The 17,805-nt window shown below is 40.4% G+C and overlaps 1 protein-coding gene and 1 pseudogene across 11 annotated transcripts in view; one reads left to right on the top strand and one right to left on the bottom strand.

Annotated features, from left to right (window-relative positions):
- The window catches only part of UBAP1 (ubiquitin associated protein 1), a 73,519-nt gene that overhangs the window by 30,819 nt on the left and 24,895 nt on the right, over nucleotides 1-17,805 (bottom strand). For 7 of the 11 annotated variants that reach the window (NM_001171202.1, NM_001171204.3, NM_001171203.3 and 4 more), the window contains one exon: nucleotides 757-797. The exons of 1 other annotated variant lie outside the window; for it this stretch is intronic. In NM_001171202.1, coding sequence (NP_001164673.1) covers nucleotides 757-797 — 41 coding nt within the window. Of the gene's footprint in view, nucleotides 1-756; nucleotides 798-4,915; nucleotides 5,034-17,805 lie in introns of those variants that run through there. 3 more of the 11 variants (XM_047423457.1, XM_017014802.2, NR_033243.3) reach the window with 2 other exon arrangements.
- On the top strand, nucleotides 15,464-15,571 carry RNA5SP282 (RNA, 5S ribosomal pseudogene 282; annotated as a pseudogene).

Here is a 17,805-nt window from a genome sequence, read left to right as displayed (position 1 = left end):
ATATAGTGATTGATTTGTAGTAAATTACTTCCTTTGATGGGGCACAGGGAACTAAACTAAAACATTATAAAGCATTAACCAAAGGGTTAGAATTTTTCACACACACACATATGGAGAAGAGCTATGACCAAGGAACAGGAAAGGGAAAGGTAACTATACCTTTTTTTTTTTTTTTTTAATGGAGTCTCGCTCTGTCCCCCAGGCTGGAGTGCAGTGGTGCGATCTCGGCTCACTGCAAGCTCCGCCTCCCGGGTTCACGCCATTCTTCTGCCCTCAGCCTCCCGAGTAGCTAGGACTACAGGCGCCCGCCAACACGCCCGGCTAATTTTTTGTATTTTTAGTAGAGACGGGGTTTCACCGTGTTAGACAGGATGGTCTCGATCTCCTGACCTCGTGATCCACCCGCCTCAGCCTCCCAAAGTGTTGGGATTACAGGCTTGAACCACCGCGCCCAGCCAGTAACTATACCTTCAATGCTGCTGAAGAACCAGAACAGGCAGACTCCTAATCTATCACTAGTAGTTTCAAGTACAATAACCAGAGACACTCTAAAGTTTAACTACCCATTTGAAGAAATACTTCAAGTTCTCTGAAGACCTTTCAGATATACTTGATACATTGTTGTACAACTTTATTTTTGTCAAGCTGTTCATTAAAAGAGACAAAAAGGGGCACTTGTACTTAAAACTATGCTAAGTGATTCCAAATCCTCTGATCAAATCATAACTTAAACCATGATTCTAATAGTCCACTTACCATGAAAATCTGCACCCAACTTCTTAGAAGCCATTTAGAACCTGAAAAACAAGGAAATATTTCTTAGGCACATTATACCTTGAAGGTAGTACGAAGAAAATTGAGAGTACAAAAAAGAAACCAGAAGACCTAAGGTTTTAGGGCTGACAGAATCCTCACGTCTCACTCCCAAAGTCCAAAAAAAAGATCCAGGCACTGTGGCTCATGCCTGTAATCCCAGTGCTTTGGGCGGCAGAGGTGGGAGGATCACTTGAGCTCAAGAATTTGAGACCAGCAACATAGTGAGACCCCATCTCTATATTAAAAAAATTAAAAATTAGCCGAGGCCAGGCTTGGTGGCTCACTCCTATATCCCAGTACTTTGTGAGGCCGAGCTGGGAGGATCACTTGAGCACAGGAGTTCGAGACCAGCCTGGGCAACATAGGGAGACCCTGTCCCTATAAAAAATTGAAAAAATTAGCTGGGTGTGTTGGCATACACCTGTAGTCCCAGCTACTTGGGAGGCTGAGATGGGAGGATCGCTTGTGCCCGGGAGATTGAGGTTGCAGTGAGCCACTGCACTACAGCCTGGGCAACAGAGCGAGACCCTGTCTCACACACAAAAATAATTAATTAATGAAAATCAAAAATTCGCTGGGCGTGGTGACGCATGCCTATTGTCCTAGCTACTTGGGAGGCTGATGTGAGATGATCACTTAAGCTCAGGATTTGAGGCTGCAGTGAGTTAAGAAGGTGCCACTGAACTCTAGCCTGTGCAACAGCACAAGACCCTGTCTAAGAAAAGAGAGGAGAGGGCAGGAGAGGAAAGGGGAGGGGAGGGGAGGGGAGGGGAGGGGGAGGGAAGAGGGGAGGGGAGGGGGAGGGAAGGGGAGGGGAGAGGGGAGAGGGGAGGGGGAGGGGAGGGGAAGGGGAGGGGAGAGGAGGGGAGGGGGAGGGGTAGGGGGAGGTGGGAGGGGAGCAGAGGGGAAGGGAGAGGGAAGGGGGAGGGGAGGGGAGAGGGGAGAGGGGAGAAGGGAGGGGAGGGGAGGGGAGAGGGGGGAGGTGGGAAGGGAGAGGGGAGGGGAAGGGAGAGGGAAGGGGGAGGGGAAGGGAGAGGGAAGGGGGAGGGGAAGGGGAAGGGAGAGGGAAGGGGGAGGGGAGAGGGGAAAGTGGAGATGGGAAAGGGGAGAGGAGAAGGGAGGGGAGAGGGGAGGGGAGGGGAGGGGAAGGGGGAGGGGGAGGGGAGGGGAAGGGAGGGGAGAGGAGAGGAGAGGAAAGGAGGGGAGGGGAGGGAGACAAGACAAAACTCAATGTTCACAGGGGCATTTTTTTCAGATTAGGGATGCTGAACCAATAAGTATGAGGCAAAAAGTTAGAAAATCTGAAATCTGAAACACTTCTGGTGCCAAGGATTTAGATGAGGGATACTCAACTTGTACATAAAAAATATTTACAATGGTTGCCTCCAAGTAATAGGACTGGAAATAATTCATAAAATATTTGTATTTCTGAACGTTATATGGTAACATCTATTAATTTGGTAGTTTCTTTTAAAACTTTTCTTGAAAAGTTTCTGTTTTCAGCCAGGCGTGGTGACTTACACATGTAATCCCACATTTTGGAAGGCTGAGGCAGGTGGATTACTTGAGCCCAGGAGTTCGAAGACCAGCCTGGGCAACATGGTGAAACCTCATCTCTACAAAGATACAAAAAATTTGCCGGTGTGGTGTTGCATGCCTGTAGTCCCTGCTACTCGGGAGGCTGAGGTAGGAGAATCACCTGAGCCCAGGAAGTCAAGGCTGCAGTGACCAGTGATTGTGCCACTGCACTCCAGCCTAGGCGACACAGCAAGATCCTGTTACCAAAAAGAAAAAAAAAAAGTTTCCATTTTTCAGCATGGTGTAGAGATAGAGTGTATTCTGTTTGATATTGTAGTTCATGGAGAATTAAATTTATAAAGTGTATGTATTATCAATTTTCAAAGAACCAGCAAACCATACTGAAAATGATTTAACCTTTTTATATGTGCAGAAAACATTCACAGGCATCTTGCTGTCACCCAGGCTGGAGTGCAGTGGCACAATCTTTATTGCAACCTCTGCCTCCCAGGTTCAAACAATTCTCATGCCTCAGCTTCCCTGAGTAGCTGGGATTACAGGAGTGTGCCATCACACCCGGCTAATTATTTTGTATTTTTAGTAGAAACGGGGTTTTGCCATGTTGGATAGGCTGGTCTTAAACTCCTGGGCTCAAGTGATCCACTCACCCCAGCCTCCCAAAGTGCTGCAATTACAGGCATGAGCCACTGCACCCGGTCTCACAGTGAGACTTCTAAAACCCAGAAGCAAGACTCTTAGCAGCCTCAACCTTCCCACGTAGGCACATACCAGAAATCTGTTTTCCTAAATTGGGAAAGTAGCGGTATCTAAACTTCCAGCAATGAGTTGTGAATATGCTCACAGACATATGCAGAAAATTAGTGTTTCATTTCTATAACCACAATAAAAATTGTGTGATATCAGCTGTTTGAAGAAGCAACTGTTGTTGAGGTAAAGAACTTGAGAGAGGCTGAGTCTTTGATTTAATAAATAATTTTCCAAACAACACCTAGAATATGCTGACACCAGGAATGTTATAAAGAAGTTCCACCAAAATTTAAATGGATGTGCTTGGCTTTTTTTTTTTTTTTTTTTTTTTTTTTTTTTTTTTTTTTTTTTTGAGATGGAGTCTCGCTCTGTCACCAGGCTGGAGTGCAGTGGCATGATCTCGGCTCACTGCAACCACCGCCTCCCGGGTTCAAGCCATTCTCCTGCCTCAGCCTCCGGAGTAGCTGGGACTACAGGCCCCCGCCACCACGCCTGGCTAATTTTTTGTATTTTTAGTAGAGACGGGGTTTCACCATGTTGGCCAGGATAATCTGGATCTCTTGACCTTGTGATCCACCCGCCTCGGCCTCCCAAAGTGCTGGGATCACAGACGCGAGCTACTGCACCCAGCCAGATGCTTGGCTTTTTTAAAAGGCTCAACTGTTCACCATAAAAAAATGAATGAAATCCAGCATGAGAATCACTTGAGGCTGGGAGACGGAGGTTGCAGTGAGCCGAGATGGTGCCACTGCACTCCAGCCTGGGCAACTCAGCAAGACTGTCTGTCTCAAAAAAAAAAAAAAAAAAAAAAAAAAAAAAGAACGAAATCCTGTCATTTATGACAATGTGAATGAATCTGCAGGACTTTGTGTTAACTGAAACAAGCCAGACACAGAAAGACAAATTTTGTATGATCTTACTCATACAGAATATAAAAAAGTTTATCTCATAAAGGCAGAGGCTTTTTTTTTTGTTACTCAGGTAACAAACCGCACATGTGCCCCCGAATCAAAATAAAAGTTGAAAAAACAAAAATTAAAAAAATTAAAAAAACCACCACCGCCACCAGCCAGGCACGGTGGCTCACGACTGTAATCTTAGAACTTTGAGAAGCCGAAGAAGGCAGATCACCTGAGGTCAGGAATTCGAGACCAGCCTGGCCAACATGGTGAAACCCAGTATCTACAAAAATACAAAAATTAGCCGGGCATGGTGGCACATGCCTGTAGTCTCAACTACTTGGGAGGCTGAGGCAGAAGAATCACTTGAACCCAGGAGGCAGAGGCTGCAGTGAGCTGAGATCATGCCACTGCACTCCAGCTTGGGCAACAGAGATTCTGTCTCAAAACAGTAACAACAATCACCTATGCTATCTGCCTAGGGCCATTCACAGGATGGTAAATCAGATGACTCCATTCTCTGACTGACCAAGGCTGATGGCATCCTCTCAAAGAACTTCTGACTGTGGAGAATCACAGATGTGGAATATTTATCATAAATAAATAGCAAACACCCTTCCCAAAAGAGTAGAGAGTATAATAGTAATTACCAGAGGCCGGAGAGGTGGGGAGGGTAGTAAAGGGAAGGGCAGGGAGTGGGATGGGGAGAAGTTGATGAATGATTAAAGTTACCATCACATAGGAAGAATAAGTTCTGGTATTCTATTGTACAGTAAGGTGACTACAGTTAACAATAATATATTCTATATTTCAAAATTAACTAGAGCTCAGGAGTTTGAGACCACCCTGGGTAATATGGCCAAACCCCATCTCTACTAAACATACAAACATTAGCCGAGCATGGTGGTACGCACCTGTAGTCCCAGCTACTTGGGAGGCTGAGGTGGGAGGATGGCTTGAGCCCAGGAGGCAAAGGTTGCCGTGAGCCATGATTAAGCCACTGCACTCCAGCTTGGGCAAGAGAGCCAGTCTCAAAAAAAAAAAAAAAAAAAAAAAAAAAATTAGCATGGTGTGGTGGTGCATGCCTGTAGTCCCAGCTAATCAGGTTCACTTGAGTCCAGGTGGTAAAAGGCTGCAGTGAGCTATGATCGCACCACTGCACTGCAGCCTGGGCAACAGAGTGAGACCCCAGCTCTAAAAAAAATTTAAAATAAAAAAAAGAAGACATAAAAGTTCACAAATATTGTGTGATGCCATTCATATGAGGTGTCCAGAAAGGGAAAATCCAAAGAGACTGAAAGCAGACTGGCGGTTGCCTGGGTCTGGGAAAGAGAAACTGTGTAGTTGGTAAGGGTCTCCTTTGGAGTGAAGGAAAGGTTTCAGAACCAGATATGGTGATTACACAACACTATGAGAGTACTAAATGCCACTAAATTGATCATTTTAACATGGTTAATTTCATGCTATGTGAATTTCACCTCAGTAAGTTTTTTTTTAAATTAAATTACAAAAAAAAAAATGGCAGAAAAAAATTGGCAGCAGAGAGGTGCTCCAGAGGAGAGGGCCAGAAAGACGCGTGTCAATAACTTCCAAGTTTGAAAATCAGAGAGGCAATGAGGCAGTGAACAACTAGATAGAAGACCACAAGGAATAGTAAATGAAAAATAAAATACAGTTCTCTTTATTAGTAAATAATGTAAAATTTTTTAAATCATGCCTCAATAGAGCTGATAAAATATTTTTTTCCCATATTATATATTATTTTCCACAGTCCTTAAGAATATGAGAAATCTATATTTGGGCACATAAAGATTTTTCTAAGGTCCACTATGCAGCAAAACTTCAGTCTCTCAAAGCTCAAAGGCATTTTAATACCTATTTAGGGTCAGTTTTCTTCCCCCAGAACATCTTTTATATATATGTACATACATGTATGTGTGTGTGTGTGTGTACATATATATATGTACACACGTTTCACCAATAACTTCCTATACTTTTTTAAACCCTTTTTTTATTATTTATTTTTCCATAAGTTATTGGGGTACAGGTGGTATTCAGTTACATAAGTTCCTTAGTGGTGATTTGTGAGATTTCGGTGCACCCATCACCCGAGCAGTATACGCTGCACCCTATTTGTGGTCTTTTATCCCTCACCCCCCTCCAACCCTTCCCCCCAGGTCACCAAAGTCCACTGTATCATTCTTATGCCTTTGCGTCCTCATAGCTTAGCTTTCACCTATCAGTGAGAACATTAGATGTTTGGTTTTCCATTCCTGAGTTACTTTACTTAGAACAGTCTCCAATCTCATCCAAGTCACTGCAAATGCTAATTCATTCCTTTTTACAGCTGAGCAGTATTCCATCATATATATATATATATGACACATATATACATACTTATATACATATATATACACACACACACACTATCATATATACATATATACACACAGCAGTTTATCCATTCGTTGATAGGCATTTGGGTTGCTTCCATGATTTTACACTTGTGAATTGTGCTGCTATAAACATACATGTGCAAGCATCTTTTTCAAATGACTTCTTTTCCTCTGGGTAGATATCCAGTAGTGGGACTGCTGGATCAAATGGTAGTTCTACTCTTAGTTCTTTAAGGAATCTCCACACTGTTTTCCAGAGTGGCTGTACTAGTTTACATTCCCACAGCAGTGTAAATGTGTTGCCTGATCACTGCATCCACGCCAACATCTACTGTTTTTTTATTTTTTTATTATGGCCATTCTTGCAGGAGTAAGGTGGTATCACATTGTGGTTTTGATGTGCACTTCCCTGATCATTAGTGATGTTGGGCATTTTTCATGTTTGTTGGCCATCTGTATATCCTCTTTTGAGAACTGTCTATTCATGTCCTTAGCCCACTTTTTGATGGGATTGTTTTTTTCTTACTGAGTTGGTTGTAGATTCTGGATATCAGTCCTTTGTCAGATGTATACATTATGAAGATTTTCTCCCACTCTGTGGGTTGTCTGTTTACTCTGCTGACTATTCCTTTTACTGTGCAAAAGCTCTTTAGCTTAATTGGGTCCCAGCTATTTATCTTTGTTTTTATTGCATTTGCTTTTGGGTTCTTGGTCATGAAATCCTCGCCTAAGCCAATGTCTAGAAGGGTTTTTCCAATGATACCTTCTAGAATTTTTTATAGCTTCAGGTCGTTAAGTCCTTAATCTATCTTGTATAGGATCCAGTTTCATTGTCCTACATATGGCCAGCCAATTATCCCAGTGCTATTGTTAAAAAGGGTATCCTTTCCCCACTTTATGTTTTTGTTTGCTTTGTCGAAGATCAATTGGCTGTAAGTATTTGGGTTTATTTCTGGGTTCTCTATTCTGTTCCATTGGTCTGTGTGCCTATTTTTATACCAGTACCGTGCTGTTTTGGTGACTATGGCCTTATAGTATAGTTTGAAATCAGGTAGTGTGATGCCTCCAGATTTGTTCTCTTTGCTTAGTCTTGCTTTGGCTATGCAGGTTCTTTTTTTGTTCCATATGAATTTTAGAAATGTTGTTTCTAATTCTGTGAAGAATGATGGTGGTATTTTGATGGGGATTACATTGAATTTGTAGATTGCTTTTGGCAGTATGGTCATTTTCACAATATTGATTCTACCCATCCATGAGCATGGGATGTGCTTCCATTTGTTTGTGCCATCTATGATTTCTTTCAGCAGTGTTTTGTAGTTTTCCTTGTAGAGGTCTTTTGACTCCTTAGTTAGGTATATTCCTAAGTATTTTTTTTTTTTGCAGCTGTTGTAAAAGGGGTTGAGTTTTTTATTTGATTCTCTGCTTGGTCACTGTTGGTGTATAGAAGAGCTTCTGATTTGTGTACATTAATCTTGTATCCAGAAACTTTGCTGAATTCTTTTATCAGTTCTAGGAGCTTTCTGGAGGAGGCTTTAGGGTTTTCAAGGTAAACGATCATATTGTCAGCAAACAGTGACAGTTTGACTTCCTCTTTACCAGTTTGGATGCCCTTTCTTTCTTTCCCTTGTCTGAATGTTCTGGCTAGGACTTCCAGTACTATGTTGAAGAGGAGTGGTGAGAACAGGCATCCTTGTCTTGTTCTAGTTCTCACAGGTAATGCTTTCCACTTTTCCCCATTCAGTATTAGGTTGGCTGTAGGTGTGTCATAGATGGTTGGGTTTTTTTGTTTTTGTTTTTGAGACAGAGTCTCGCTCTGTCGCCCATGCTGGAGTGCAATGGTGCGATCTCGGCTCACTGCAACTTCCACCTCCTGGGTTCAAGCGATTCTCCTGTCTCAGTCTCCTGAGTAGCTGGGATTGCAAGCGCCTGCCACCATGCCGAGCTAATTTTTGTATTTTTAGATGAGACGGGGTTTCACCATGTTGGCCAGGCTGGTCTCAAACTCCTGACCTCAGGTAATCCACCTGCCTCGGCCTCCCAAAGTGCTGGGATTACAGGTGTGATGTGAGCCACTGCACCTGGCCCAGAGATGGCTTTCATTACATTGAGGTATGTCCCTCGTATGCTGATTTTGCTGAGAGTTCTAATCATAAAGGGATGCTGGATTTTGTCAAATGCTTTTTCTGCATCTATTGAGATGATCATGTGACTTTTGTTTTTAATTCTGTTTATGTGGTGTATCACATTTATTGACTTAAATATGTTAAACCATCCCTGCATCCCTGGTATGAAACCCACTTGATCATGGTGGATTATCTTTTTGATATGTTGCTAGATTTGGTTAGCTAGTATTTTGTTAAGGATTTTAGCATCTATGTTCATCAAGGATATTAGTCTGTAGTTTTCTTTTTTGGTTATGTCCTTTCCTGGTTTTGGTAGGGTGATGCTGGCTTTATACAATGAATTAGGCATGGTTCCTTCTTTATCTTGTGGAATAGTGTCAGAAGGATTGGTACCAACTCTTCTTTGAATGTCTGGTAGAATTCTGCTGTGAAGCCATCTGGTCCTGGACTTTTTTGTTGGTAATTTTTAAATTACCATTTCAATCTTGCTGCTTGTTATTGGTCTGTTCAGGGTATCCAATTCCTCCTGATTTAAGCTAGGAGGGTTGTATTTTCCCTAAACCCATTTATTTTACAATACTCTCCTATTATCTAAATACTCAATTATGGAAAAATGATTAAATAATGGAAAATCCAGAAGATAACGTTGTGATGGCACTAAGAGTGTCTACTAAAGGCACATAACATAGGAGTAGACATGGAACTAAAAAAATTATTTTATTTTTAAAAAGCATATAATAAATAGAAAATAACTATAAGTGTGTGTGTGTGTGTGTGTGTGTGTGTGTGTGTTTTAATAGAAATGAGGTCTCACTATGTTAACCAGGCTGGTTTTGAACTTCTGAACTCAAGCTATCCTCCTGCCTTGGCCTCCCAAAGTGCTAGGATTACAGGTATAAGCCACCATTCCTGGCCAATAATTATAAATTTTAAAATGTTTTAATAAATTAAATTAAATTGCCTTATGTAAAAAATGTGCACAAAACAAGACTGAAAGAAATGTTTGCCACTAATGTAAAGCTATAATTAATCACAGGGAAAAAAATTTATAATCAATCATAAATTTCCACTAAAATAAGTATATGCTTCTATTAAAGGGAAAGTATCAATCAAAAATAACAATAAAACATATTCTTTTTCTTTTTTAGCTGGTGGTATGGATTGGAACACACATTCATAATTCAAGAACTTTTACACTAATAAAACTTAGAAATCCCAAAACCAACAACTTATCAGTGATATTCTATTTTTCCAGCTCAGTATCACTTCAGTTCAAATGCTACAGGAAGAAAACCCGGTAACTTAAAATCTGAATTACTGGTTAAAGACATCAGAAAAAAGAACAAAGAATAAATCTAAGAATAAAAAGAGATGGGGAAACAGGTAACAAGAGAAATGCAGGGAGAGAAGGAGGAGCCAGAATGAAAGAAGAAGAGATGGGTTAAGGAATGGGAAGAAATGGGAAAAGGAAAAGTTGAAGGAGGCAGGGATAGGAGACCAGGAAATTTTTAAAAAGTAATAATAAAAAACACCTTGCGAAGGACCAGGCCCTCTGAGAAGGGGAGGAGAAAGCCCAAGGGCAACTGTATTAATGTTCTCTCATTTTCACTTCCTTTCCTTTTGCATATCTGTCAAATTATTATAATACTCTCTAAAAATGCTTCCCAAAACAAAATAGCAACTCAGAATCTCAGTAAGCTATCAGTCACACTTCTAAAATAATAGCTGCAATCAGTAATTTCCCAAGATACAAATTAATCCAGGAAATTATCTAATTTACACAAAAAGATGGCTTTGGGAATCATCACATTTCAAGCCTGAAGAAAAATTAACTCCCATACAAGTCATAGCAACATTTATGTTTGTAACTGCTAGTAACATGTCAATATTAGGCTATAATATATTCATGAGAAAGAAGTTTTCTGTCTTCTCTCTGGGGTCTCAAAGGCATTTTGGAGCCTCAGCTCCCTCATCAGTAAAATAAAGGTAGTAGACTGAATAACCAGCCAACTCTAGATAGACCATAAATCTATAATGAGAGAATAAATGAAGGAAAAATATTCATGTTTCCAAATTAAATATTGAGTATTCAAGATAAATGATACCAATGTCTATATTGACAAAATTAAAAGCTAGCAATCATATGTTCATCATCCCATTTTTTTTCTTACTGATCCATAAAACCCAAGCCTGGAAACCATTCCCCTATACCACATATAAAGTAATCTCAAATGATTCTTATTATAAAAATTAACAAAAGATACTTTTATATACTGCCTGACATGCAGAAAGAGCTCCACAAAGGTTGACAAATTATTCAAACCAGCAACGATGTGTTTAAAGAAAAAAAAAGGTTGGTGAATTAAATATAACTTTCAAAAAGGCAAAACATTTCCAACCACTCTACCAGTAAACTAGTATACCTATAGAAAACATGTAAAAAAAAAAAATTTTTTTTTTTTTTAAAGATGGAGTCTCCCTCTGTCACTCAGGCTGGAGTGTGGTGACACAATCTCGGCTCACTGCAACCCTCTGCCTCCCAGGTTCAAGCAATCCTCCTGCCTCAGCCTCCCAGGTAGCTGGTACTACAGGCACACACCACCATGCCCAGCTAATTTTTTTGTATTTAGTAGAGATGGGTTTTTGCCATGTTGGCCAGGCTGGTCTCAAACTCCTGACCTCAGGTGATCCACCCATCTTGGCCTCCCAAAGTGCTGAGATTACAGGTGTGAGCCACCGCACCTGGCCAGAAAACGTAAATTTTTATTTGAACAGAATAGTATTAGAATATTTTTTTGTGTTAGTTAAGAACGTAACTGTGAAGACTGAATTCAATTTGTGAGGCCTTGCTTTCAGTCAGGTTAAGTCTGAGAATTAGCAAGAGACACTACTTTCAGGATCTATCACTGTCCACAAGCTCTGTGTTTGCAAAACTTAGCCCCCTTATTACTGTCCGCTGCACATCGGCGTACTTGGCTGAAAATGGAAGGCCAACAAGAGGTCACAGTACCCTGATTCATACTGAGGAACATTTCAATAGCTCCAGTAAGCTTTTCTTTATGCATCAATTTCTTTTAATTCAGCTGGAATAAAATACTGGTTCAGATTTTCCTAAGCACCCGTTTTATCGCAAATTAAAAAAGAAAATTGGAGTCACTAGCGTATAGAAACAAGATTTAATAGGCCCTGACATTGTGGAAAAGAGAGAAGTATGTTTATGTGGATATGGAAACAAATAAGGATAAGATATTTTTATAATGGTGGGATCACAAATTTAGCCTTTTGGTTTTTCCTTTTGTGCTGTTTTCCAGGTTTCCTGTACTGAGCATAGATGCATACATTTATCTATGATCAACACACACATACTTTGTAATTGGGGGAAAAAAACTGGTATGCAACAAGCACCTATAAGAGGATTAAAAGGAAATACAATAATATGTAATTCAACAGAGCGCTGGAAAAAACACAAACAAAAAAAAAAATAGGTAACTAATGAAAGATAACGACTTCAGAGAGAGAAAAAAGAACAAAGAATAAATCAGTGGTTTCTAGACCAGTAAGCATACAAATGACTCTAGGTTATAGACTTCATGGAGTACGTAACAGGTGTTTTACTTTATTAACAATAAAGAGTGCAAACCATTGTGTTTTACTTTATTAACAATAAAGAGTGCAAACCACTGAATATCAATACTGAATTGCCCCAAATAACATAGCATTACCACTCAAAAGGCAAAAATGATAGGAAACAAAAACTAGGCAGAAATAGATAACAAATCTAATTTAGCTCTAATCTAGATTTAATTTATATTGTTAGATCAAAAGCATCTTGAAAGCAGGACACACTTTTTAAAATACCCAAAGAACATGTTACAAAACTTGTGTAAATATTAGGACACAAAGAAAACCATGATAAATTTCCAAAATCAGAAGTAGCTGAGTCAGGCCAGGCGTGGTGGCTCACGCCTGTAATCCCAGCACTTTGGGAGGCGGCCAAGGCAGGCAGATCACTTGAGGTCAGGAGTTTGAGACCAGCCTGGCCAACATGGTGAAACTCCATCTCTACTAAAAATACAAAAAATATTAGCCAGGTCTCATGGCATATGCCTGTAATCCCAGCTACACGGGAGGCTGAGGCAGGAGAATGGCTTGAACCCAGGAAGCGGAGGTTGCGGTGAGCCGAGATCACGCCACTGCACTCCAGCCTGAGCAACAGAGTGAGACTCCACCTCAAAAAATAGAACTAAAATACGAAGCTGAGTTAATAACCAGCTTGATCTCGGCTCACTCCATCCAGGCTTGAGCCTCCACCATCCAGGCTCAAGCAATTCTCCCGCCTCAGCCTCCCGAGTAGCTGGGATTACAGGTACCCACCACCACACCCAGCTAATTTTTTTTTTTTTTTTTGAGACAGAGTCTCACTCTGTCGCCCAGGCTGGAGTGCAGTGGTGCCATCTCGGCTCACTGCAAACTCCGCCTCCCAGGTTCACGCCATTGACCTGCCTCAGCCTCCCAAGTAGCTGGGACTACAGGCGCCCGCCACCACGTCCGGCTAATTTTTTTGTATTTTTAGTAGAGACGGGATTTCACTGTGTTAACCAGGATGGTCTCAATCTCCTGACCTCATGATCTGCCCGCCTCGGCCTCCCAAAGTGCTGGGATTACAGGCGTGAGCCACCGCGCCCGGCTAATTTTTTTATTTTTAGTAGAGACAGGGTTTCACCATGGTGGCTAGGATGGTCTCGAACTCCTGACCTCAGGTGATCTGCCTGCCTCGGCCTCCCAAAGTGCTGGGATTACAGGCATAAGCCACTGTGCCCGGCCTCCAGTGGGATTTTAATGGATCCAAAATATAGAAAAGTGTCTAATTTGTATTTACAAAATGAGTATAATATTGGTGCCAAAAAACTTCGGAAAAATTGAATATATAAATACAGATATGAAAATCCTTGATTAAAAAAAAAAGTAACAACCAAAATTACCAGTACATTTTAGGAATAAACCATGTCCAAGTGAGATTTTTTGCATAAATACAGTCCAACACCAACATTAACAATTCTGCTGATATAATTCAGCATTAATGCTCAAAGAAGAAAAATCATATGGCTATCTCCTTTACATGAGTTTTAAAAAACAAAAAACTAATACCAAATACCAGATTATGCTGACTAGTGGGGAGACTACAGAAGTATTCCCACGAAGGACAGCAACAAGACAAAGATATCCATTATTATCACAATTGCTTAGCATTGTTATTTCATATTAGATGGGAGAAATAAAAAGCATAAAAACTCAGATAAGAAACTTTCCCAGGAAAACCCAAAAACTGACAAGAGAATACGATAAACTATTTCTGGATACAAAATTAATATTCTGAAACAAATTAATACTCTGAAACAGCCTTCATATATACATGGCCAGATAATAAATATAATGTGCTGAAACAAGAGAACTGCTTAAGCCCAGGAGTTCGAGTCCAGCCTGGGCAACATTGCAAGATCCCATCTCTTTAAAAAAAAAAAAGAAATAAATAAAAAGAAATATAAGAGAAACACACAACATACCAATATACCACAGCAGTTAAGAACTAGGAATAAACTGAAGACATAAAGGGAGAAAACTAAACCTGTACTGAAAGACACAAAAGAAAACTTAGACAATTAGAAAAACATACAATACTCTTGAGCGGGATATTCAACATTATTAAGATCAATTCTAAGTTGCTATACAAATTTGCCATGATGCAAATGAAAACTGAAGTACCATGTTTTTCTTTCTTTTTTTTTTTTTTTAATTAGACAAGCTGATTCTAAAGTTCATGTAGAAATAACAATTAAGCGGCCAGGCGTGGTGACCCACACCTGTAATCCCAGCACTTTGGGAGGCTGAGGTGGGTAGATCACCTAAGGTCAGGAGTTTGAGACCAGCCTGGCCAACATGGTGAAACCCCATCTCTACTAAAAATACAAAAATTAGCTGTGGCGGGAGCCCGTAATCCTAACCCACTCCAGAGGCTGAGGCAGGAGAATCACTTAAACCTGGGAGGCAGAGGTTGCAGTGAGCTGAGCTCACACCATTGCACTCCAGCCTGGGCGACAAGAGCAAAATTCCATCTCAAAAAAAAAAAAAAAAAAAAGAAATAACAATTAAGCAAACGCAGAAAAAAAAGAAAAAATCTCCGAAGAAAATGGAGACTAGCCTATCAGATATTAAAATATTAGAAGATACAATACTGAAAGCTGTGTCGTACTGGTACAAATACAGATTAGTGGAACAAAGTAGAAATCCCTAAAAATACCCAAAATATAAACATTTGGTATATAATAAAGCTGCTTTTTAAAATCAAGTCATGGGACAACTGGGTAGTCACCTAGAAAAAAGCAGAATCCGATGCTTGCTTCACACTGCATACCAAGATAAATTCCAGATGGATCAAAGGTATAGTAACATTATGCAACTGACCAAATGTAGAAATACTATTTTCACTCTACACATACAGCTAGCGAGCCAAAATAACCTAAGTTTCTAAGACTTCAAATTTAAGAAAATACCTGGCTTATGAAAAACTCGGAAAATGAAGGGTTTTGGTTTGTTTTTTTTTTAAGTCAAGATGCTGTAATACATAAGTTTTGTCACTAACTGATTTTAGTCTTACTTTTTTCTTTTCTTTTTTTTGAGACAGGGTCTCACTCTGTCACCCATGCTGGAATGCAGTGGCACAATCTTGACTCACTGCAGCCTCAACCTCCCGAGCTCAAGTGATCCTCCCACCTCAGCCTCCTGAGTAGCTGGGACCACAGGCACCCAACACCATGCTCGGCTAATTTTTTGTAGAGATGGGATTTTGCCGTTTGGCTCAGGCTTAGTCTTATTTTTCAAATGAGGTTTTACCAAAGTTATTAATTGTAAGGTATCCTTAAGGCTTATAAGCAAAGCAATTAGTGTCTACAACCAAACCACCCTGAACGCTCCTGATCTTGTCTGATCTCAGAAGCAGGGTTGAGCCTGGTTAGTACTTGGAAGGGAGAAACACAACTAGTGACTGAATACAAAGCTCATTTCAAATAGTTTAATAAAAACAGATTACAGTTGAAAAGCAACTCCCTAAAAATTACAAAGTGACAAATAAGTACATAAACTAGTACTGTAAACGCAAATTATTGACCCAAACTGTTTTTTGTTTGTTTGTTTTTTGAGACGGAGTCTCGCTCTGTCACCAGGCTGGAGTGCAGTGGCACGATCTTGGCTCACTGAAACCTCCACCTCCGGGGTTCATGCCATTCTCCTGTCTCAGCCTCCTGAGTAGCTGGGACTACAGGTGCCCGCCACCACACCTGGCTAATTTTTGTATTTTTAGTAGAGACGGGGTTTCACCATGTTGGCCAGGCTGGTCTCAATCTCTTGACCTCGTGATCCTCCCGCCTCAGCCTCCCAAAGTGCTGAGATTACAGACATGAGCCACCACGTCCTGCCAACCCAATCTGATTTCTTAAGATCTGCAGCTAATTCCAAAATGGGTCAATAAAATCCAGACAAAGATTTCCCTTAGCTCTGGTCTCCTCTTAATCCTCCAAGCATCTAGTACAGTGTCTAATCTTTAGCAGGAGTGGCTTTTCACTTACTCTCTCCCTTCAAACTTTCTGAAAATTTAATAGCTAATTGTACAACTAATAATTATACCTAACATGTAATTTCAGAATACAACTAGACAAAACAATATCTTTAAAATGAAAAAGCTAAAACAATAATCTCTTGTAGTTACCAATAAAAAGTCTGAAATTATAAGTCTTGTGAGACTACCATAATGGAAGAACAGGAAAGTAATGACTAGTTAAAAATCAGAATGGGAGTCATGACTTCAAAGCATTAGCCAGGGCTGGGTGTGACTGCTCAGGCCTGTAATCCCAGCACTTTGGGAGACTGGAAGATCACTTGAGCCCAGGAGTTCAAGACTAGCCTGAGCAACATAGTGACAACCTGTCTCTACAAAAAATACAAAAACTGGCCAGGTGTGGTGGCACACACCTGTAGTCCCAGCTACTCAGGAGGTTGAGGCAGGGGACCACCTGAGCCTGGGGAGGTCGAAGCTGCAGTGAACAGTGATGGCGCCACTGCACTCCAGCCTGCACTCTCACTCTGGGTAACAGAGTGAGAACTTGTCTCAAAAAAAATAAAAATTAAAGCATTAGCCAATCAGAAATTTCAAGTCAGCATCTTAACCAATTCATTACAATTTATTTAAAGTATTTTCTTCAGAGAGTTCAGTGCAGTGTCCTCAAGAGGAAATCTGACCACGAACCTATCAATTTAATTCTTGCAACTGAATAAAGACTGGTTGGCAAAAAAATAATGTCAACAAGTTATTGAACCAAAAATATAATTTCCTTCCCAACTCCAAAAATCATATCACAATTCATACCAGAAGGCAAGAAAGACAAGAGCACCTGAGGCAATTAAAAGACTTGTAGAATGGGTAAAAACCTCTGAAATTTAAAAAAAAAGAACTTTTAGGGCTTCTTCCATAAAACAAGACTACTACTGGAGTAAATGATCTCTGGAATTCTTTCCAGAATTAAAGGACTAGAGATAGATTATTTTCTAACTATGAATTTCACTGGTTTTTCTAGTCTTATACATATTAAAAAGATAGCACAAGACTTCATCTTAATTCTGAGGGCACATAAAAACAAACGGGTGTTTTCTTCAAAAAAAAAAATGGGTGTGGACTGTGTATACTTACTTGACTCAGAAAGACAAGTATACTTGACTCAGCAAGTATATACAATCCACACCCTTTTTTTGTTTTTTATAAGAAAATCCTTACTATTTGATACTATTTTCCTCTACAAGTAACTAATACAATACTAACTGGTCAGTTTTTTGTTGTTGTTGTCTTGAGACAGAGTCTTGCTCTGTCGTCTGCACTCTGGAGTGCAGCAGCAAGATTCTTGTGCCTTAGCCTCCCGAGTAGCTGGGATTACAGGCGTGGGCCATCACACCCAGCTAATTTTTGTATTTTTAGTAGAGACAGGATTTCACCACGTTGCCTAGGCTGGTCTCAAACTCCTGACCTCAACTGATCCACCCACTGTGGCCTCCTAAAGCTCTGGGATTGCAGGCATGAACCACCACGCCCAGTCTCTTAACTGGTTAATTTTAAAACAAAAAAAAGTTATCATACTAGAAGCTATTAATTTGACCTGAAATAAGTAATTGCAAATATAATTTTTTGTTCTTCCTGGAGTCTTCAAACTCAGTGGATTGTATCATTCTGTTTCCATCATG

Source organism: Homo sapiens, chromosome 9 (assembly GCF_000001405.40).
Source record: "Homo sapiens chromosome 9, GRCh38.p14 Primary Assembly".
NCBI classification, from domain to species: domain Eukaryota; kingdom Metazoa; phylum Chordata; class Mammalia; order Primates; family Hominidae; genus Homo; species Homo sapiens.
The sequence above is the reverse complement of the archived record's forward strand: the minus strand, read 5'-3'. Positions and strand labels throughout refer to the sequence as shown.